This window comes from Homo sapiens, chromosome 2 (assembly GCF_000001405.40).
Source record: "Homo sapiens chromosome 2, GRCh38.p14 Primary Assembly".
Classification (NCBI taxonomy): domain Eukaryota; kingdom Metazoa; phylum Chordata; class Mammalia; order Primates; family Hominidae; genus Homo; species Homo sapiens.
The window spans coordinates 108,945,508-108,969,511 of NC_000002.12; the positions used below are offsets into that span (position 1 = coordinate 108,945,508).

At 46.0% G+C, this 24,004-nt stretch overlaps 2 protein-coding genes across 3 annotated transcripts in view, besides 1 other annotated feature; one reads left to right on the plus strand and one right to left on the minus strand.

Annotated features, from left to right (window-relative positions):
- The window catches only part of RANBP2 (RAN binding protein 2), a 1,122,820-nt gene that overhangs the window by 226,026 nt on the left and 872,790 nt on the right, over positions 1 to 24,004 (plus strand). The gene's annotated exons all lie outside the window — the stretch shown is intronic.
- EDAR (ectodysplasin A receptor) overlaps positions 1 to 24,004 on the minus strand; it is a 94,750-nt gene that overhangs the window by 51,037 nt on the left and 19,709 nt on the right. The window lies entirely within an intron of this gene.
- Positions 11,455 to 12,654: an enhancer, noted in NCBI's record as "BRD4-independent group 4 enhancer chr2:109573418-109574617 (GRCh37/hg19 assembly coordinates)". NCBI's record gives its function as "activates an origin of replication core promoter dependent on BRD2, P300/CBP, MED14 and CDK7 cofactors, and independent of BRD4, by STARR-seq in HCT116 cells {active_cell/tissue: HCT116}" and the evidence as "EXISTENCE:reporter gene assay evidence [ECO:0000049][PMID:35650434]".

Below are 24,004 nucleotides of genomic sequence, written 5' to 3' on the forward strand. Positions count from 1 at the left end.
CAGAGGGCTGAACAGGATGGATAAGCTGGGCTTGTTGGCACTGTCTGCATTTTAAATGCCAGCCACAAAGAACACCAGGAAAAAGGACTGGAAATGAAAGGAAAATAAAAATGCAGCTAACTTTCTAAAAATTTGAGATCTATTTATTTCTAAATGCCATGGATCCCAAATGGATAAACAAAGTATGGCATATGCACACAATGGAATATTACTCAGCCTTAAAAAGGAAAGACTTTCTGACACATGCTACAGTATGCATGAACCTTGAGGACATTTTGCTAAGTAAGATAAGCCAGTCATGAAAGGACAAATATCATGTGATCCCACTTGTATGAGGTCCCCAGAGTAGTCAGATTCACAGAGACGGAAAGTAGAATGTGGGTTGCCAGGGGCACATGTTACTTTGTCATGAAGATGCCTATTCTATCCTATGCTTCCATTTGACCCTTCCTCAAAATAAAAGACAGTTCAAGCAAACTAATGACTTGATTGCATTTTCTGACTCCATTCTCTGCACTAGTACTGGCAGCACTAGTCCTCAGACATGAAGGAATCTGACATTAGGGAGGGCTGCCAAGTTTCTGGTGACTCCAAGGACACACCAGCCCCTCCTCCTGGCAGTCGTCCACACCCTGTGAGATGTGCTCGGAGTGTGTCCCAGCAGCTGTGAGGAGCTGTCAGGTACAAAATGCACCAGGGCATGACTGGGTATACTCAGCCTCCCCCGACTTTATCACAGGCTCTTCAGATACACCCCAAACTCATGTCAGTACCTACGGGTGACAGTGACGGGAGTAGCACCTGGGACAACACATATCTGAGTGTGTTCAGCATTGCCCTGTGCCTGCACACCATGGGGCTTGGTAAAGACTTGCAGAGCTGAATTATGCACAAAGACAACCCCTTGGGGACTGGTGTCAGGAATATTGGCAGCACCAAACAATTCTTAAAAAGTTGGCTCTCTGGCCAAACACATATTTTACATACTAAAAAGTGGAATTATATTAGTCCATTCTCCCATTCTCACACTGCTATAAAGACTGGGTAACTTATAAAGAAAGAAGGTTTAATTGACTCACAGTTCCACATGGCTGGCAGGCCTCAGGAAACTTACAGTCATAGCAGAAGGCAAAGGGGAGGCAAAACACATCTTACACAGTGGCAAGAGAAAGACAGTGAAGAGGGAAGTGCCAGATACATATCAAACAACCAGATCTCATGAGAACTCACTCACTATCATGAGAACATCATGGGGGAAAGCGCCCCATGATCCAATCACCTCCCACCATGTTTCTCCCTTGACACATGGGAATTACAATTTGAGATGAGATTTGGGTGGGGACACAGAGCCAAACCTTATTCCGCCCCTGGTCCCTCCCAAATCTCATCTTTTTTTTCACATTTCAAAACCAATCATGCCTTCCCAACAGTCTCCCAAAGTCTTACTGACTCCAGCATTAACCCAAAAGTCCAAAGTCTCATCTGAGACAAGGCAAATCCCTTCTGCCTATAAGCCTGTAAAATCAAAAGCAAGTTAGTTACTTCCAAGATACAATGGAGATACAGCCATTGAGTTTCCATTCCAAATGGGAAAAATTGGCCAAAACAAAGGGGCCATAGGCCCCATGCAAAAGTCTGAAACCTGGCCGGGCAGTCATTAAATCTTAAAGCTCCAAAATCTTCCTTGACTCCATGTCTCACATCCAGGGCATGCTGATGCAAGGGGTGGGCTCCCATGGCTTTGGACAGCTCTGCCTCTGTGGCTCTGCAGGGTACAGCTCCTGTAACTGCTTTCATGGGCTGGTGTTGAGTGCCTGTGGATTTTCCAAGTGCATGGTGCAAGCTGTCGGTGGATCTACCATTCTCGGGTCTGGAAAATGGTGGTGCTCGTCTCACAGCTCCACTAGGCAGTGCCCCAGTGGGGACTCTGTGTGGGGGCTCCAACTGCATTGCCTTGGTAGAGGTTCTCCATGAGGGCTTCACCCCTGCAGTAGACTTCTGCCTGGACATCCAGGCATTTTCATACATACTCTGAAATCTAGGTGGAGACTCCCAAAGCTCAATTCTTGTCTTCTGCACCCCCGCAGTCCCAACACCAAGTGGAAGTTGCCAAGGCTTGGGACTTGCACCCTCTGAAGCAATGGCCTGAGCTGTACCTTGGCCCCTTTTAGCTGCAGCTGGAGCTGGAGTGGCTGGGATGCAGGATGCCAAGTCCTGGGGCTGCACAGGGCCCATGAAACCATTTTTCCCTCCCAGGCCTCCGGGTCTGTGGTGGGAGAGGCTGGTGTGAAGATCACTGACATGCCCTGGAGACATTTCCTCCACTGTCTTGACTATTAACATTCAACTCCTTGTTACTTATGCAAATTTCTGCAGCCAGTTTGAATTCCTCCCCAGAAAATGGGTTTTTCTTTTCTACCATATAGTTAGGTTGCAAATTTTCCAAACCTTTATGCTCTGCTTCCTTTTTAAACATAAGTTCCAATTTCAAACCATCTTTCTGTGAATGCACATGACTGAATGCTTTCAGAAAAAGCCAGGTCACATCTTGAATGCTTTGCTATAGAAATTTCTTCTGCCAGATGCCCTAAATCATCTCTCTCAATTTCAAAGTTCCACGGATCTCTAGAGCAGGGGCAAAATGCCACCAGTCTCTTTGCTAAAGCATAGCAAGAGTGACCTTTGCTTCAGTTCCCAATAAGTCCCTCATCTCCATCTGAGACCACCTAAGCCTGGACTTCATTGTCCATATCACTATTGGCATTTTGGTCAAAATCATTCAACAAGTCTGTAGGAAGTTCCAAACGTTCCCATGTCTTCCTGTCTTCTTCTGAGCTTTCCAAACTATTTCAACCTCTGTCTGTTACTCAGTTCCAAAGTTGCTTCCAAATTTTCAGGTTGTCTTTATAGCAGTACCCCAATCTACCAGTACCAATTCTCTGTATTAGTCCGTTCTCACACTGCTATAAAGATACTACCTGAGACTGGGTAATTTATAAAGAAAGGAGATTTAATTGATTCACAGTTCTGAATGGCTGGGAGGCCTCAGGAAACTCACAGTCATCGCAGAAGGCAAAGGGGAAGCAAGGCACGTCTCACATGGTGGCAGGAGAGAGAGAGAGAGTGAAGTGGGGAGTGCCAGACACTTATCAAACAACCAAATATCCTGAGAACTAACTCAATATCATGAGAACAACATGGGGAAAACTGCTCCCATGATCCAACCACCTCCCACCAGGTCTCTCCCTGGACATGTGGGGATTACAGTTTGAGATGAGATTTGGCTGGGGACACAGAGACAAATCATCATATACTAAAAAGTAGAGTTGGCCAGGCATGGTGGCTCATGCGTATAATCCCAGCACTTTGGGATGCCGAGGCAGGATGATCACTTGAGGCCAGGAGTTCAAGACTGGTCTGGACAAGACAGTGAGACCCCCATCACTAAAAAACTTAAAAAAATTAGTTAAAAACACATACATGTTTTTAGGCAGAGTCTCACTCTGTCACCCAGGCTGGAGTGCAGTGGTACAATCATGGCTTCACTGCAGTCTCGACCTCCAGAGCTCAAGTGATTCTCTCACCTCAGCCTCCTGAGTAGCTGGATCTACAGGCTTGAAACACCATGCCTGGGTAATTTTTTTTGTAGTTTTTTGTAGAGATGGGATTTCCCCATGTTGCCGACACTGGTGGTGTACTCCTGAGCTCAAGTGTTCCACCTGCCTTGCCCTCCCAAAGTGCTAGGATTACAGGTGTGAGCCACCAAGCCTGGCTAACATAGGCTATTTTTAATAAAAGCAATAATACAAGTATTAATTATTCCAAAGAGAAAAGCAATGCATTAATATTCACATGCACAATATCTGATAATTTTGCTTTTCAGTCAGTGGGAAGATACGGCTTGGGCATCTTATGCTGACAAACAGCTGTGTTTGACCTGAGCCTCCAGTTGGCTCTGAATAATATTGCCTACTGCGTCCCACAACTCTATGGGGACATCCACTTCCTGCTGCCATCAGGTCTTAGCTAACAGCCTCCAAACCAGTGCATGACTTGCAATTAATTGCATCATAAAATCTTTTTTTTTCCTAAAAATGTGATGAGATTTCTCCCTCTTGCTCATAAAACATAATCATCTGAGGTTGGAGGATTGGTTTGGGGCTGCAGGAACTAATCATCCAACCAGAGAGGCCACTGAACCCCAGTCCTGTGTGCCATATGGAACATGCATGTCCTTATTTCTTCTCAAACTCCAAAGAGAAAGAGTGACTCAGTTAAGATGATGAGGTATGTAGCCAATGATTTATCATGGGTTAGGTCTTCATGGTGCCTTAGAAGCAGATGTGACTGGAAAATAACCTCCGAGTAATATGTCCCTTCCAAATCAAAGATTCTATGAGCTCATGGAGGCCAATGCCCTCATTTCCTGAGGTTTTTGAAATAACAAATGTATATGGGAGTAGGGGGAACTGTGGAGATTGGGTGCAGCAAACTGGACAAATCAATTGTCAGATGGTTTATTCACTGAGTGCGGCCTGGGCATGGTGCCATGGGGAGGGGCACTTATGACCCCAGGAGGGGCCTGCTGGCTGAAGAGTGAATGCAGCACACATAGGGACATGTTCAGCCCTACAAGGCAGAACAGATGACAGCCATCTAAGATGTCATGTCTTTTTTCTCTTTCCTTCCCTCCCTACCTCCCTCCCTCCCTCCCTTCCTTCCTCCCTCCCTCCTCCCTCCCTCCCTCCATTCCTTTTCTTTTTCTTTCTTTCTTTTTTTTCTTTTTTTGACAGGCGGGTCTCAGTCAAGCATAGCTCACTGCAGCATCAAATTTTTGGGCTCGAATGATCCTCCCGCCTCAGCCTCAAGAGTAGCTGGGAGTACAGGTGCATGCCACTGCCTCTGGCTAATTTAGATGTGATGTCTTTATGTAGAGCATGTTGTATTTCTGTTTATAAGGGCCGATGGTGTTTAACAGCACATGAGCCAGACAAGGCCAGATCAACCAGGGAAGCACAAGAGATTGTTTATTCGTTCATATTCTGACATGATGTAGCTGAAAGCTGGACAGTGTGTGACTTCATCCTGAACACCACAAAGCTCCAAGTCTGCATTCTGGACGTGACACACAGCCATATGCTGTCCCCTCTGCTCTGTTGGAGCTGCCCTCAGCCTTCTCCACATCCCTGCCCTTGCTCCCTTCATGAGTCCAGTTCTCCGGGAATCAGACCTTGGGCTGGAGATGTAAGTGCAAGATATTTATCAGAAGGCTTTGGAATCAACACTGTTGGCAGAAGGGGCAATACATTCTCAGCACAGGGATGGCCCTACAGAGCTGTCCTGAACTGGAGCAAGGGACCCAGGCCTTCACACATCCACATTAACCAGGCCCCCAGGAAGGGGTGTGACCTTGCATGAGGCAGGCTTCTTCACCCAAGGGCAGCTGCCAGTTGGGGGACTCAGCTGCAGCCTTTGTCTGCCATCCATTGTCCAGCATCTGGGAGCACTGATGCTTCTATATTGAAGGGGCCACTTGTGAGGCATGCCTCTCATAATCCAGTTATTTCTTGCACTTGCTCACCAGGCTGATAACTACCTGCCCTGGGAGTTTCTCAGCATCCTGAGAGGATTCTATGTAGCTTGAAGCCTTTTTTCAGAAACCCATCTTTCCCCTTCTCCTGGTTATATGAGCTCAGTTTCCCCTATAGCAGCTGTGTCTTGAAGGGTCTCAATATCGGTCTTCTGCATTTGACCAGGCCAATGCCATGTAATTCCAATGACCACACTACTGTACAGGTATTGAAGAAACTCTGAACTTAGCAAATGGTCACAAAGAACTGAACCATCAGTTATTTCTGTTAGCTGGGCAGCATTGTGTCCAAGGTCATACAGGAATTCGACCAGAAAGGCCAGGATGTCTTATGTGATTATTGTACTAGCACGTAGTGAACTCCAGAAAAACTGAAATGAATTTAATATAAAGCACAGCTTGATGGGAGGGGCTTATTCTTGTCAAAATTTAGATGTGTGTTTAAATTTATTGTTCCAAATCCTATACACAATCCTGTATAGATATTGGCACAGGGATAAAGGTGATATGGTTTACAGGGAAGGGCACTGGATCAGGATGGGGCCTTGGGTAAGACACTTCACTAAAGCCTGCAATTTCTTTAACTGTAAAATGAGGGTCTTATACTAGATCATTCTAAAGGTTCTTCCATTTCTGCGAGTCCACGAGGTTCTCTTAGATCTATGATATGCAGTGAAAGCTCTTGGCAACACTATATCAGAACCAATGCCTGTGTTATGGACTATCTTCTCAAATCACAGTTATATTCCAATTAATTCGGCAGACATTATGATCTTCCCAAGGTCTCTTGAGGTATTGAATGGTGTACAATGATGAGTAAGACATAGACTTTCCCTTGACACTCTTACAGTCTAATAAGAGGGCTTAGATCCAAGACAAAAGACCATGCAGGCAGGACCAAGAATATTTTCACAAAGAAGCAAAAGCATGTTTTATTTTTCTCTTGTTACTGCTTTGTTTTTTCATTTGTTTGTTTGACGGAAGGTCAAAAGGGAGAAATCACATTGCTAGTTAGGCACATTGAAGAAGGTTAAAATGGTGGCATTTGATATCATCTCAAGGACCTGAAAGAGGGGAGAGAATTTCAGGTATGAGCACCATGTGTGGAAGGGCCAAGGTGGGGAGGTACAGGTGCTGGGGCAGCTTGTTGATTGATTTGGTTTAAATAATGGGTTCATGTGAAGGGGACTGGGAGATTGGGTAGAAGGTAGTTTGGTGACTAATTGCAAAATACTTTAAATATCAGGATTTTGTTTCCTTTAAGTACACAAGATAGGAGAGGAGGGTTTCTGAATAATGAGGACATGATGAAATTTTTAAAATACTCTATTATGCAGATTAGGAAGGTTCAATTGATCTGACTTTAATTCACTGCTTCTCTCTTCTACAGCCTCCAATACATTGTAAAGCCCTTCTGGTGAATTTTTCATTTCAGATATACTTTTCACTTCTAGGATTTCCTTTTTAAAAAATACTTTCACTTGCTCTGCTGAGATTCTCCATCTGTTCACTCATTAAATCCAACTTTTTCTTTAAATCCTTGAACATATTAATATGAGTTATTCTAAAGTCTTAGTTAATTCCAACATCCGGATTATCCTGGGGTCTGTTTCTATTGAATTCATTATTTTTGGATTATGGGTCACATTTTCCTATTTCTTCGTATGTGTGGTAATGTTTTATCATATGCCAGACATCGTAATGATATGTGAAATCTACTTTAAATAGCACTGAGTTTTACTCTGGGCAAGTGTCAAATTACTGGAAGATCCTCCCAAACCTGTCAGTCTTGACTTTTTTCTTTATTAGGGTTGGTCTATTTATGTTTCTGCTTTTAGTTCCAAGGCATTATCCTGATTCCTGAAGTATAGACTTTCTGAGGTCTTTTTAAAAAACGTTTAATTTTTGTGTGTATGTAGTAGGTGTACATATTTATGTGGTACATGAGATATTTTGATATAGGCATGCAATGCGTAATAACCACATCATGAAAAGTGGGGTATCCATCCCCTCAAGCATTTATCCTTTGTGTTACAAATAATCCATCTGTGCTCTTGGAGTCTCTATTGAAAGCTCAAAGTGGTGGCTGAGCTTTCTGCATTCTGGCTAAGCCGATGCTTCAGAATTGCTTATCCCTGTGAGGCATCTGAGCTCTGCTGTCCACAACAGGTGTTCTCTGTTGTCTGCTAGCTTGTGCCGAGTCTTGGCCAAGACCCACCGGTAAACTTCATGCTGATTTCTGGGACTTTCTTCTGTGCAGTACTCTCTTCTCTGGTATCCTGTTCCACAAATTGTAGATACTTTATCTCTAAACTCTGCCTCTTCATCTCATTAAGACATCCTCTCTGCTTGGCCTCACTACAGTCTACAAATTCCCTCTGGCTAGGAAGCCAGGGTGAATGGGTATATTTTACTTTTCTTAAGGCTCACGGTCCTGTGCTGTTTGTTGTCCAATACCTGATGACAGTTGCAGTTACCTCCCATACTTGTCCAGTTCTATAGTTGTTTTTGGTAGACCAGGACACAACCAGATGATTTTCTAGGAAGACTAATTTGGTGCTGTCATTGTCGGATGGATGTGACTGATGAGACACTGGAGGTAGCTATGTGAACAAGGACCTAAGGTAGGCTGGTGGCGATGGAAACAATAAAGAAGCACCAGAAAACTGGCAGGTGGAGAGGCCAGTTAGGCAGAAGAAAATGGTTCTGAGGCTTTGAGCCTTTCCTCTGCTCTTTAACACCATTTGTGTGCCCAAGGGTCAAGTGAAGTTGAACCAGACAGGTCAGAGGGATCAAGAATATGGATATCCTTTGAAATAATGTTTTTCTACATATTATAAGTGAGACACTAAAGATTACCAAGATCCTAAAACTTCTTTGGTTGCTCCTGAAAGGCATGATAAGTCTTCTAGGGTCAGACAAAGAGAATTAAAGGAGCCCCTCTCTCTGTATAAGCCTATCCCCTCTATGATTTCTTGCTATGGTCTCTCAGATAACCCAGTGAGGAAAAGTAACGCACCTTATCCACCAATTCCCTCACCACCTTCTTATAAAATCCTGCAGTTATGGCAACCTAGATAGCATAGATGGCATTTCCATGTTATGTCCTAGATCATTTTCTCTTTAGAACTGGAGATCCTGTTCCGGAGACCAGCAGCAGATTGTGGTGTGTGGGCAGATAGCTATACATCAAGACCTATACCCCAAGATATATGGGCTGCCATTTTCCCATCTTAATGTATATGCTTATTATTTGAATAGCTCATTACTTAAAGGAATTTCACAGACATTCTGCAGCCTACCTGCCCTCTCTCGCCCTGCAAACTTTGGATAGGTGTGGTGGTCTCTATCCCATTATGTGGCCACCAGTCCTGAAACTATCCTTGGAAAAGGCTCCCCACCCACTCTCCTTGGCAAAATTGTGAGCCACATGCTTTGCTCTTTTCATCTTAGTCAACGCTCATCCCACCCAGCCCTGTGCCTGGTATGTATGGTCCCTGAATTCTGTGTCTCTGTCTGCTTTCCTCTGTCACATTCCCTCAGTGACCTTTATTCAAGCAGCTGTCACTGGGAAGATAATCTTTTTTTTTTTTTCTGAGACAGAGTCTCGCTCTATTGACCAGGCTGGAGTGCAATGGCGTGATCTCGGCTCACTGCAACCTCCACCTCCCAGGTTCAAGCGATTCTCCTGTCTCAGCCTCCTGAGTAGCTAGTATTACAGGCGCCCGCCACCATGGCCGGCTAATTTTTGTATACATGTATTTTTAATTGAGACGGGATTTCACCACGTTGGCCAGGCTGGCCTTGAACTCCTGACCTCAGGTGATCCGTCTGCCTCAGCCTCCCAAAGTGCTGGGATTACATGCGTGAGCCACCAGACCTGGCCGGGAAGATAATCTTACACAGGAACTCCCACCAGGCTATGAGTGACTGGCACATCTCCCTGAGGGAAGCGCTCACAACTAATTTTAATAATAGCATTAAAGGGTAGTGATTATAAGAACAGGACTCTAATGTCTGATTTCCTGGGTTCAAATTTGGGCTTAATTTACTAGCTATGCAACTTTGGGCAAGTAATCTAAATGTCTGTGCCTTGGTTGTCTCATCAGTAAAATTATGATATTAATAGAACCTAGGTCAGAATGTGAGGATTAATGAGATAAATTAAATGAGATGATGTGTATAAAGTATTTACAACAGTAAGTGCTAATGAATGCAAGGTAATATAATTATTTTCCAATTATGGAAGAATTGTAAAATAAAAGAAAAATATAAAGAAATAAAATCATAACCCATTAATTTTGGGTTTTGGCATTTTCTTTCAGTCCCTTATTTGTAGAGACATATATATCTTCTAAAATGAAATTAGGCCAGGTGCAGTGGCTCACACCTGTAATCCTAGCACTCTGGGAGGCCGTGGTGGGCAGATCACCTGAGGTCAGGGGTTTGAGACCTGCCTGGCCAACATGGTGTGGTGGCACTTGCCTGTAATCCCAGCTACCTGGGAGACTGAAGCAGGACAATCTTGAGCCCAGGAGGCGGAGGTTGCAGTGAGCCGAGATCACACCACTGCACTATAGCCTGGGCGACAGAGTGAGACTCTGTCTCAAAAAATAAATAAATACAATAACATAAAATAAAATTAGAGGTAGGGCGCGGTGGCTCATGCCTGTAATCCCAGCACTTTGGGAGGCCGAGGCGGGCAGACCACAAGGTCAGGAGATTGAGACCATCCTGGCTAACACGGCGAAATACTGTCTGTACTAAAAAAAATACAAAAAATTAGCCGGGCATGGTGGCAGGCGCCTGTAGTCCCAGCTACTCGGGAGGCTGAGGCAGAAGAATGGCGGGAACCCAGGAGGTGGAGCTTGCAGTGAGCCGAGATGGTGCCACTGTACTCCAGCCTGGGCAACAGGGCAAGACTCTGTCTCAAAAAAATAAAATAAATAAAATAAAATTAGATTAAAACACTGTTCGGGCTACTTGTGGTTTGACTGTTTCATTCCCTATTGTCTTAATTATTCTTAACAACAGCCTTTTTAATGGATTGAAAGTATCCCATCAAATGAACAAGCCATAATTAAATCAACCAATCCCCTAATATTTGTCCTTCAGGCTGGTTCCCAATTTTCACTGTCATAAATACAGTTGCAATGAACATCTTTGTGCCTGGCTGGAGATACCCTTTTTATACATTCTGAAGAGTAGAAGTTAAAGGGCATGAGAGTGTTATGATGCCTGTAGAGGTGTCCTCTAAAACTTGGAGATGACTTTGGTTTGGTTTCAGGTAGGAACTCCATTTGGTTTAGAATACTGGCATTCCTGATGCCACTCAAATCCCTCCATGTCCTCCACTAGCACTGCACCAAGAGTCTCTCACGTCAGCAGGTTCTGATGTTTATCAGTCCATTCTGGGTAGCCAAGAAACTACACATGGCATTGAAATCTGGCAAGGCACAAGGCTCCCTTGGGTGCTTTTCTGGTTAGATGGTTGACTGACAGTGAAATTTCCCTCATAGATGCTTGATTATGGGCAGTTCCTTCCATCTGCTCAGCCACCTTCTTATGCCACCAGAATTTGCTGAAAATATTTGGGTTATGATTCATTTTGCATATCCCTCCTTGTCCTGGACTTTTACGATTAGGATCCCAAGTTTTGAAGCTCAGCAGGAAAGGCGAAAGCTCTCTTTTTTTTTTTGTTTTTTTTGAGACAGAGTTTTTGTTCTTGTTGCCCAGGCTACAGTGCAATGGCACGATCTCAGCACACCGCAACCTCCACCTCCCAGGTTCAAGCGGTTCTCCTGCCTCAGCCTCCCGAGTAGCTGGGATTACAGGCACCTACCACCACGCCCCGCTAATTTTTTGTATTTTTAGTAGAGACGGGGTTTCTCCACGTTGGTCAGACTGGTGTCAAACTCCCGACCTCAGGTGATCTGCCTGCCTCGGCCTCCCAAAGTGCTGGAATTACAGGCGTGAGCCGCCACGCCCAGCCAAGGCAAAGGCTGTGTAACTGTGGGACTTGCAGTTCTACACTTTCCCCAGGCCTCAATTCCTTGAAATCTAAGTGAGGTAACTGGCCTGGGTGCCACTGACAACCAGTTCCAGCCCTCACACTGCATCTCCACCAAATTTCTGGTGGGCTCCCAGGTGGCTGTTCACCTTCGCTTCGTGAGACAGATGAAAGCCTGGAAACAGCAACGCCTCTTGTTTATGGGCAGAGATGACCCTGTTTGAACTCTCATGTGGAAGCCAAAGGTCTTAGTCACTGGTTTAGGAAGTCGGGGGCAGGTAATGACATCTGTTTGGGCATATCTAATCACTGTTTTGGTTTCTAATGACAGTCCTTCAAATAGAGGGCTATAAATCAAGTGGCCCCGGGCTCATGGAGGCCCCCCAGGGGGCTGGATGGTTCTATCAGGTTCTGCCTGCCATCTGATTTCTTCACCCTCCTCCACTGCAGAGATCCTCAGGCTCCATGCTTCTGATCCACAGCCACACACCTGGATAAACGTGGGTTAAGAGTAGGTGCCTCCAACTGCATTTACAACATAATTGATGCGGCCTTACAAACTATTTGATGTCCAAACCCCATCCTTCACCGGGCCTACCAGGCGAGGCTAGTGGAGGTGAGAAGCCTCACAATCCATGTTTTTTAATGCATCCGAGTTATTCCAAAGCAAAGGGTATTTCTTTCCCCTTTTGCTCCTCTAATTGATGCAGCTGTTGCCTAGCCTCATCTGCATTAAGCTAAATATTATGTTTTTGTAACGTTTTTGATCTTTATTAATTATAGCGCAGGAAAGCTGACAAAAGCAACCTGTCTCTTTAATATAAACAAGATTAATTGCACAGTTCCTGCAGAAAATGAACTACCAGCAGTTTAACAAAAAATGTTTGTCTTTAAGCAGCCCTTTGGATTAAAAAAAAATCAAAACTGTTACAGGAAGTGCCAAAGCTGCCAAATTACCATGCCCGTGAGCCTCACCCTCATTATCAGACTAAACGAACGCACACACCCCTGCACTTTCATCCTCCTCCAGGCCCAGGAGAAAGAAAGGCGGGAGAGAAAAAAAGGGCCTTTATACAAAGAAGTGTCTCTGAAGTCTGGAATGCACCCTGGCTGTTTGAAGACAAGATTTATACCTGACACCTTTCCTTAAGCTCACTGTTGAGACTCGCCTGTTTTCAAATCAACCGCAGACTGGCTGCTTGAGGTACTTCAGCTCGTAACGACCACATAATCTAAGATAAATACACAGGGAATTGCTATCACTTTCATTAATAACCATGAAATAGTTATTCCTTCAGCAGGAAAAAAAAAACAAAAAACAAAAAACAAAAAAAACCCCAGGGCAGTGCCTTCCAGGAGCTGAGGCAGAAGGCTCACAAGGGTGCGTTTGTTCAGGCAGGGGGCAGAACAGGGGGGCATGGCAAGACCCTGGACCCAGGACGCACAGTAGAGAGGGCAGAAGGACGGTGGGAGGGCACCCCATGGCCGCCCTATTGCTCGGGACAGCTAGCTCCCTTAGCAATGGCAGAGCCAGGAGTCAGTCTCTGTAGTTAAGAAGCCCAAGTCCAGCTCTCAGGCCTTTGCAGGTGACTTCTGTTGGAACACCCCTAGATATCTGGCCCAGGAGACCTAAAGCTCAAGCGCAAGGCTTCTGATTTTGTTGAATGTTGTGACTGGATGTGAATGAATTCTGTTGAATGTTACAGCCACTTGGAAGTGTCAGCCAGAGATAGTGGGCTCTCCAGGCTCATGGCTGGCTGGGAAAAGGCACCAAGTTTGGGGCAGGTGACAACACAGTTCATGAGAGAACCTGGGAGCCACATCCACATCATGGAATGCCACTTCCCTGCAAGTCCTCAAGAAGTGGCCTCCATGGCTAGTGGCTGAGGCCATTGGAATTGGCACCCATGAAGAACGGGACACTGTGCTCCCAAAATCATGCTTAGAAAGTGGGTTAGAGCCAGAAAAACGTGTATCAACACCAGTTCTCTGTGGCTTCCCGTGAATTCCTGACTCTGGAACAGCTAGAATCGTGACTAATGGAGTGTATATGGGGCATGCTGGTGGCAGGTGGCCCGAGGAAAGCCAAGGCTTCAGTAAAGCTGATGGGGCCATTGCAAGGCCAAGTTTGTGCAGAGGGGCTGATGATGGCCTATGAAGCCCTGTGGTCTGCGATCTGGGAACTCTTACAGCCTGGTGGATGGAGAGATGACCTGGTGTTGGAGATTTGTTTTCCCAAAGAGCAAGACATGCAGCAGAGAAATCAGAGCTCCCCAGTGTCTGTAATGCAGGGGACGCTGGGCTGTGACTTGGGGTTCTCCCTGATCCAACCCAGTTCAGGTCCTCCTGGGTCTTTCATGAGCAGAATATTGCATCTTTCAATGCTTTGTTTCTCTGTGATGCTTAAAACCTGTGCCAAGATGACTCAGGTTGTCAGGTTTCCAAGGGACCTGGTTCTCACAGCAGTCATGGGGCTGAGGGGAGCTGGGGCCTCACACACCCTTGGGGCTCCAGCCAGGCCAGTGCCGGCTGTGGCATGCGCCCTGGGACTCAGCTCTGGATGCCCGGTGAATGGCTGCTGGGGCCGTGGGCAGTGGAGATTTCGCCTTTCCCCAGCGTATGAGAGCCAAATGTCTACAGGGGATTCAGGAGCTTGATGAGGAGTGCTGGCTGAAAATGAGAAAGATATGTCTTCTGAGACACCAGCTTTTCCACAGGTCTCTCAAGAAACTCAAGCCTTCTCTAAAAATACTCGCACATACATACAAGCACACACATATCCAAGTGAAACCAACACTTGCCCTACACAACATTCTCCATCCTAGACCATGTTACACAGTGCTATACCACATGGTCCCTTTCCATTTAAAACATGCTAGTCTGCAGCCACTCAGTCAATGTCATGATGCACTAACGTGGCCACGGTGGCTCTGAGAAAGCAGTGCCCTCCAAAGAGGGAAGCTGGGTGCTGGCCTGTCCACCCTGCACACCCTGTGGCTGGGTCCACTGATAGTACAGGGTGCTAAGAGGAGCGGGGTGGGGATCCCAGCCCTGGCTCAGTCTGGCCTGGGTGTCCTGGCAACCACCAGTTCTCCCCGGGGCTGCAGTTTCTCTATTTGTCCACAAGAGCCTCAAACTGAGGATCCCCCAAGGTTTTAACTCTGTTTTTAGGAGCTGGTTTGACACTTTCCTAGGAGATTGTCTGAACAAAAAAAGTGCTCACTGCCTCAGAATGTTTAGTGGAGGGTGGTCTATGTTCTCAAGACGCTCTTGCTGATGAATGCCTCTATGGGTTCACCTGTGGTGCTCCCCCCAAAAACAGGATACCAGAATTTCTCAGATCAGGCAAAGAATAAGTATAATCTGGAATGTTTGGAAGGTGGGGGCATGAGGAGCCAGGGCAGGGTGCACACCTGTCTCTGCTGCCCCGTCAGCCAGCAGAAAAGTGGACAACAACTTCCACCACGCTGGCTCTGTCACTGATAGGTTTTTACATTTTTTTTCATATTTTCCTGATTGTAAAAACACTACTAATTGTAAAGAAGTTTTCAAACATGTAAAAGTATAAAGAAGAAAACTAAAAATCACTGCTGGTCCTACCATATGGAAACATTATTGAGATTTTGATATATTTCCTTTTACTATGTATAGATATATAGATATATCATAAGGAGTCATATCGTATATTGAGTTTTGTATCCTGTTTGCTTAATGATTTAATGAGCCTCTTCATTTGAAATATTCTTCAGGAACATGGCTATATAGTATTCCACCATGTGGATGTACCAAGAGTATCCCCTAAGGCTGGACATTCGACTTTATTTCAAAGTTTTTCACTATTATAATGAACGCCACAACGTACATAAAAGACACAGTGGATAGACTTCTAATTATTTCCTTACAATAGAGTCCCAGTGGTAGAACTGTTGGGTCAGAGGCCAGGCGTATAAATGAGTGGTGGGTGAGCACGCATGGATGCAGAAATGCTCGGCCACCTCCCGACCAGCACTGGAGCAGACCCTGCAGAGTGGCCCCCGCTGCAGAGCCTCTGGGCCTGGCCCTGACTGGGTTTTGGAGGCCCAGACAGAAAAAGAAGACTGACCATAATTTTTAATGAAAGGGTAAAGAACCAGATTCAGGAAAGGGAACAGTTGCCAGTCCTTTCCCTCCTAAATAATTAAGAGGGGGAGACACACTGCAGCCTGGAGGCCTCTGCCCCCAGGACCCACCAGTCTAGGCTGACCTCCCCTCACTCACTCAAGGGCATCTGGCACACCCACCACCAGTGGAGGCAGGCAGGGAGGAGCCAGCATTGGAGCACAGCTTCTCTGGGACCAGCCACCCTCCTTGGCTGCCCTGCCCTGCTCACAGCCAGGCCCTCTTCAGAGGGAGGTAGAGCTCCTGGTTCCCGCTGCCTACATCAGATTTACATGCTGAAGGTTGAACTGCTCTTTTGGTTATGGACGTTCTGCAAAAACAGACATTTACATTAAAAAAGCACTCACTGGCAGATGGTGTTATTGTTACGTTTTCTTTTCTGAAACTCTATGGTCAGAACACATTCATTCTGATGCAAGGGGCCTTGGGCTCAGCTCAGCCTTGGGTGGGTGCGGAAAAGCCTGGGGAGGCTTCCTGGAAGAGGTGAGAAGTGATCAGCCCATGTGTTGGGTCTTTTAACCTGCTGCTGCTCTCTCGTGACCTGAGCCTGGGGAGGGAGACCCTTGCTTCACACTAATGGCCCCTGTGCTGGAAATGAATGGAAGCAGTGAGTCCATAGCAAGCATAGCTGGGCCAACTCTCATTTTTCCAAGTTAATATTTGTAAGAAAAACTCTAGCTGTGTTCAGGGAAATCAAAGAGGGGAAGCGCAGCTGTAAGATAAGTCATGAGCTGTTTCTCCCAACACCTCTCCCAGAATCTAACAGTTTGGATAAAATCCTGGAGAGACTTTTTTCCCTGTGTAAATCACAGAAGGAAATCCACAAAGATGTCCAAGTGAGACTGTGAACTCTGGTAGGGTAGCATGTGGCGCCCTGTCTAGGCAGCCTCTCAGCCTTTCCTTAGGGTTCCCTGATGGCAGATGGCGCATTGCAGATTGCGCTGAGATGCTCGGACGCTCTCACAGCCTTTCACACATGTGAACCAACGTTCATTCGCAGGAAAATCTTATGAAATAGGTAGGTTGTGTTGTCCCTGTCTTACAGGTAATGAAATGGAGGATTAAAGAGTTTGGGATAATTGTCAAAGCTCAAATAGCCAATAAGTGATGAAAAAGGAACACAATCGGCCAGACGCGGTGGCTCACGCCTGTAATCCCAGCACTTTGGGAGGCCGAGGCTGGTGGATCATGAGGTCAGGAGATCGAGACCATCCTGGCGAACACAGTGAAACCCTGTCTCTACTAAAAATACAAAAAAAATTAGCCGGGCGTGGTGGCGGGCGCCTGTAGTCCCAGCTACTCGGGAGGCTGAGGCAGGAGAATGGCGTGAACCCAGGAGGCGGAGCTTGCAGAGAGCCGAGATCGCTCCACTGCCCTCCAGCCTGGGCGACAGAGCGAGACTCTGTCTCAAAAAAAAAAAAAAAAAAAAAAAAAAAGAGAGAAAGGAATGCAATTCAAGGGCCTCCCATGCCAAGGCCAACTCTTCCTGGCATGACACCATCGCACACACACCCTTTTCAAAACCAACCGCAGTACCATTCTGTCCAAGAGACTGAGCAGAGTGATGCTGAATTAAAAGCACAAATCCAAAGATCCTCACTCTTCAATGGTTTTGTCAAAGATCTACAAACAAGAGATCTGCAGACAATCCCAGTGTTGTTCTAGGATAAGGAGAGAGCTACAGAGATGCCAAGGACAGGAGGGCTCACTGTGCACTTGTCTTACCCTTGCCAGGGACATCTGCACCAGCGATCAATTGAACTGAACAAAATCTGGTGGCTCTGCGTCACTGAAGGTCACTCACTGTCACTTGTAAGTCCCCAGTCCAGCCCTGCAGAGGCCGCAAACTGCTGTACACCCCTAGCTTCAACCACTTGACTGTGTGCACGAGTCCAACAACAGAGACACATTCCAGTTTTGGGAAAATACATCTGAAGTTTTACATGATGTATTCTTATCTGAAACTCTGTGGCCAACGTAAAAGGGCTACGTAAGCAAAAATGATCACGCACTACACACTGTTAAACTGTTCATAGCAACTATGAGAAAAGAATTCAATTTGCTTTCAAGAGCCCTTCAAAATCTGTTTCTAGGATGCCTAGAGCCGACGTTCTAAAATTCAAGAAGATTCGAATTGTAAAAACTGCACAAGGACATTTAAAAAAATTGAGCTTTCTATTTGAAAGTGGATTCACGTGCACTTGTAAGAGATAATACAGAGAGATCCCATGTCCCCGTTACCCAATGTACCCCAATGGTTTCGTCTGGTAAAATTACAGGATGATGGCACCTGCACAGTAGTCAGGTGTGGACAGCAATATAGTCAAGACAGAAGACAATTACAAGAGGGGTTTTAGAGACTCCGTTTTATAAAACTCCATGATCTGCAAGAGCCAGGAGCCCTTTCAACAGAAGAATGAACCTGAGAGCACTGCAGAATGTTGCGGCCAATTCTGGGCAATTCCCAGGCTATGGGTATCACAGGACTGCCTGGCCTGGGGCCTGCAACCTGCAAAGAGGGACCCTTCCATCTGTAGACTCTGCCTTCTTGTGGGAAGATAAGGCAGAAAGAGGAAAGTGTGAGCTGGCTGGAGAGACACCCACACACTCAGAAGCAGATGACCATAGACTGAGGAGCCAGTAGGGTCGGCTCTGGCTGGAGCATGGGCCAATCCTGGACTCACTTCTTGGACCATTTTCCTCAACCATCAGCTGAGGCAGCTGAGCCTGGCACTGTCCAGGACTATGGCCTCTGTGGCTGCTGAGCCTGAACTGTGGCCACTGCCCCTGAAGCACTGAGTTTCTCATGTTAATGAATTCTACTTAATTTAAATTTAAACAGACACGTATGGCTGTGGCTACCCCACTGGGCAGCACAGAAGATAGTCTTTCAGATCCCTCCCACCTCCTGAAATGCTCTAATTAAAAACATCCAGGCTTGTATAGATGGGGCACGTTTTTTATTTACTCCTGGGGAAACTGAGACTCTGAGAGATCCAGGACTTTTCTGAGGTCCACCGGTGACCTGTGCTACAGCCAGAAGCCCCTGCCAGGTCATCTGGACTCCAGTTCAAGTCTCAGTCTCTGCCACATGATGCCACGGCTCCAAAGCAGTCCCACTAACAGGGAACTGTGACGAAAAGGGATCAGGTCATGGAGCTGTTCATCTTTCCCTAAACTGAAGAGGAAACCCAAAATATGAGAAATAAAAGTCCCTACTCTAAGAGGAAATCAGGTACTTTGGGGGAAAAAAACCCCAACAAACTCCAAAAGCCCAACCAAACCACAGTCACCAGTGACTGAAATGAGGATAATCTTTTAACAACAAAGGGCAGCTGTTTAAAGAACTAGGTTTCTCTGAGCAAATGGAGCAGCAAATAGCACTCCAATTCCAGAAAGAAGAAGTGCTGAAGGCGTGTCCACAGGAGAGCATCCCAGTGCTGGAATCCACACTCTCCGTTACGCCACACTCAGTGCTCACTAAGTGACAGCAGGCAGCAGCCCTTGGCTTGCTTCTACCCAGAGAGCTGAGGTTCCTAATCAGAAGACCTTCCAGAGAGCCACAGACCCCAAATGTTTGGAAATAATTCCACAAACTGTGTAGCATGACAAAAACATACTTAATAACAGCACGTCTGGAATAAGGAACAGTTCATTCATTCTAATTAAATCCTATAAAGTTCAGCTTAACATTTAAATTTTTTTTAATGATCTAAGACTCTCTTCAATAGCACAACCTGCCTCTTTTACATGAACATTCTAAAAACTTACTTTAATATTCCTCCAAACATTTTTTAACTATGCCACCCACTTAGAAAAGTGTGTGTGCACGCAAGCATGTGTGTGTCTGTGTGTGTGTGTGAAGGGTACTGGTATTTATTTTTTGAGTGTCCAAAGTGTCATGATTATATCTTTTAATGACAACAAATGGGCCAGGCGCGGTGGCTCACGACTGTAATCCCAGCACTTTGGGAGGCCGAGGCAGGCGGATCATGAGGTCAGGAGATCGAGACCATCCTGGCTAACATGGTGAAACCCCATCTCTACTAAAAATACAAAAACAAAATTAGCTGGGCGTGGTGGTGGGTGCCTGTAGTCCCAGCTACTCGGGAGGCTGAGGCAGGAGAATGGCATGAACCCGGGAGGCCGAGGTCACGCCACTGCACTCCAACCTGGGAGACAGAGCGAGATTTCGTCTCAAAAAAAAAAAAAAAGATAATAAATGACCCAGTTGTTCCCAGATACAGGTCTTTTGGGGAGAGAAAAACATTACAGACAGGAAGATCCTTAGAAGGTTTTTACCCCATCAGGATTTTCTCCTCCTGGGCTCTACTGGCTTTGGGTCTTTTCCTCTTACCTTTGGGTGTCTGTATGCCTCCTTCCTTCTCATTTGGGTGACTGCTGCAGTGGGAGAGCTGGGCACCTTCCCTGGGTGTGTAGTAATTGGGGTTTGATGTAGGAGAGGTGTGACTGCTCTGTGCATTGATGTGGTGGTGGGGGGCTGGGGTTTTAGCACATCACAGGAAATTCAAGATGGGCCTTTTGATGTGCAGCACCCTCTCCTCCCCTCCTGCATCATGTACTCTCCCTCCACCTTTCCCTTCTGTGCTCCCCCCTCTCCCCCCAGGCAAAGAAATATTTCCTGAAAACTGGAAAAACCAGGTACTATCAACGTCAAATCAGTGCCAATTAAATTCGGTTATAAAATTCAGGCCTTGTCCCTCATCTTTGAGTGACACCTTCCCTTTTACAACTGGGGCTGTTAATACCACAATTAAAACATTCAATATCACCATATCCTTGGATCTAAAGCAGTTTATAGCCTTGGAGTTCTGTTAAGAAAGTCATTAACACCTCAAGGTGTTTTGATAAGACCAACTTTGAAGCAAGCCTCTCCTCCTGGTCTTTTATTGCCCCTGTCATCTTAAGTATCAAATTTCAAGAATGCAAAGACCTGTCTGCCTTGCATGTTGTTGCCTACTCAAGTTCCGTCTTTGTCATTTCTATTATCAATATTTTAAAGTCAGATGATCTTTGCAATTAACACATGAACTTTGGGTGAAGGGTTTAGATTTACTATGCTGAGACTGGCATTAAGTCCCTTCAAAGCCTTAAGAAATGCAGTGGCATTGGAGGCCAGCCGCAGGCAGAGCTCCTCTGGAGTGACTCCTCACAGGGCACAGGAAGGCCTATGCCTCATCTCGCGGGCCCCGGTGCAGTTATGTGGGGTCAGAGCCTGTGGTCTCAGCCATACCCTGTGCTCTTTCAACCTGAAGACTATGAGGAAGAGGTCATCTTCTGTCTGGACAATAGTCATCAGAGAGTTCTACGGTGCCCAAGTGCATTCAAATAGTAAGGAAACCCTACTGTCTTCAGGAACACTACTGTGTTTGGCTATAGGGGTTCTGAGAAAATGAGCTTCAGCTGTGTTGGCTCTGCCTGTAGAGAAGGGCTTCCCAAGCTACTGAGCCCACATGGCCTGCTGGCAGAGGCCAAGTGCCAGCCCTGGAAGGGAGCACAGTGGAGGGAGGATTGATTGCCTGGGGACCACTATTCTTGGCTAAACTGCTGAGTAGGACAAACAACTCCACTAACATGATGAAGTGAAAGGGAGACAGAGAGGGACCCTCTTTACTGGGGTTTGTCCCAAAGACCAGCCAATTGTGCATGGGTTTGTTTGTTTGTTTGAGATGGAGTCTCACTCTGTTGCCCAGGCTGGAGTGCTGTGGCACAGTCTTGGCCCACTGAAACCTCTGCTTCCCAGGTTCAAGCAATTCTTCTGCCTCAGCCTCCCAAGTAGCTGGGATTACAGGCACCCGCTACCATGCCAGGCTAATTTTTGTATTTTTAGTAGAGACGGAGTTTTGTCATGTTGGTTAGGCTGGTTTTGAACTCCTGCCCTCAACTGATCCACCTGCCTTGGCCTCCCAAAGTGCTCAGATTACAGGCATGAGCCACTGCACCCGGCCAAATTATGTTTTTGAGATCAAGTCCCTGGGATAATCAGTTGCAGGTTCATATTTCACAGGGAAAAACAGGAAAAAAACATGAAGAATATCAAAGGCTAGAATTTTTTTTACTTCAATAGTTCATGTTCTCCCTGAGGCTGCAGCAAATGTGCTGTAGAAAATGGTTTGAGGGCTTGTGGGCTAAGAGCAGGAGCAGAAGAAGGGGAAGCCTGCTGTTCTCCAGGCCTTTAAAGTTCGTGTTTACGGGTCTCCTACTTGTCTTTTTATCCTTTTTTTATTATCAAAGAGGTTTACAACAGTCTTGTGCACAACAAGTGACTTCCTAATTTTTCTGCCAAGACGGGGTGGCTATAAAACTTGAAAGAGCAGGGGGCTGTCCATGCCTGACAGAGTGTGTCTTTGTAGGAAAATGTAAGGTGATTTTGATCCTTTAATTGCTTCAATTTTACTTCATAAACCAATTTCTTTTCCCCTTATCCCTCAAAGCTTCCAATAACACAGTCTATTGGGAAAAACTAGACGGTGGATTTCTGCTTGTTTGAGAGCTTCATATGTGGATATTTTTTAAAAGGAAAGTAAGAACCCACCAAGATAAATTTCTCTTCAGGTAACAATGTTATTGAGAGCAGTGACTTCACAGAAACAAAAGATGGAAAACCCTCAAGATTAGTGAGTCTAAGACCTGTCAAATCCGGCTTTGCGGAGCTGGAGGGCCCCAGCCACAGGGGTAGAAAACAGCTCATGCACACAGAACAGGACGCGTGGAGAGATCATAGAGAGATGTGTTATTGAGCATAGGACATGCGCCCACTGTCCCAAGAATGCCTCAGTCCCAGGCCCTGGGATGGAGCTGAGTGCTGCACAGGGATAATATCACCTGATTTTCACAGCCACCACCTGGGGAAGGCGCCGTCATTGTTCTCACTTTAGTGGAAACTGTCTCTTCTCAAAGTGGGGTCCACATACCAGCTGCATCAGCATCGCCAGAGAGCCTGTTGGAAATGAAGAACCTGGAGCCCCCTAGATCTACTAAATCAGAGCTGACCCAGACATACTTCAACATTTAAGATGGAATGGTTTAGCTCATAGGTCTTCAAGCCTTTTTTTGTTTTTTGGATTATGCATCCCTATAGAAAAATAATTGTACATGCATCCTTTTGACTGTTGAAGTTTTGCAAACCAGGGATGTAGCATTTTCTGTTCATTATGGGGAGGTTTGTCCCCAGCAGTTCTAACCAGGATGAGGTAACACAGATCCCACAGAAATATTCTGGCTTGTTGAGAATTGGAGCAGAAGGGTGGTAGGCATACTCAGAGGGCAAGCCAAGGCTGCATGGGTGACCAGTCTGTCTGTGGCGCCTCCTGATCACAGGCATGGTGTTCTCTTTTCTTCCTAGCTACCAGGGAAGAAGTGAGCTGGCACCTTCTTCTGCACTGCTGTGCACAGAATTTGCCCCCTTTACTCTGGGTAGCCCTGGGTTAAAGCTTGATGCTGATACAAAAAGCCATCGAACACTAGGAAATAAGGTCATGTGGAAGGAAACTAGCTTTCCAGGGACTCAGGCCTGCCTGAGATGATGTCATCTCCAGGGGCGTGTACCTGAGCTTCACTCTGCTATGCACTATTTGGCCAAAGCCCAGTCACGGTAGGGTTACATGTTAGCTTGCAGATTTTAGCCTGATAAAAAAGACAACCACAAAGATTGTAAGACTTCACTGCTCTGTGGGACCTTAAGCAGTTTTGTTATCCTAACTTATTCCATTCCTCAGAAGCTCCCGGAATCAGCAAGGCCACCTCAAGGGATCCCTCATTAAGGAGCTGAATGAGTCCCTGATGCACAGTCAGTTTACGTTGTGTGACAGTCATGGTTTTAGCTCCTTGAGAATTGGATTCAACAAGGGTGATGAAGAAAGAAGGCACCTCTGCTCTATGGCTGGTCTTGATCTCTAGCAGCTGAACCCTGGCTTTGACAACCTTCTTTTTTTTTTTCCTGCTCTTCTCTCTGCCCTCAGCTCCAACCTCCACCCCACCTATTTTTAGATATGCACTTTGATTCTGTCTTTCCAAGACCTTATTTGAAATTACCCACTTTCTTGGTCTTGTTCTTGCTGCTATTGATCTGTATGTGCTGGCTAAGTTCGGATGGTTGTATCTCCGGTGAGAGGAGAACGATTAATGAACTCACGAATCAAGCATTTTTCAAATGTTTATGGGGCCAGACACCATGCCAGGCCTCCAAAGGCATACAGGTCCTGGCCCCGAGGACTCAGTGAGGA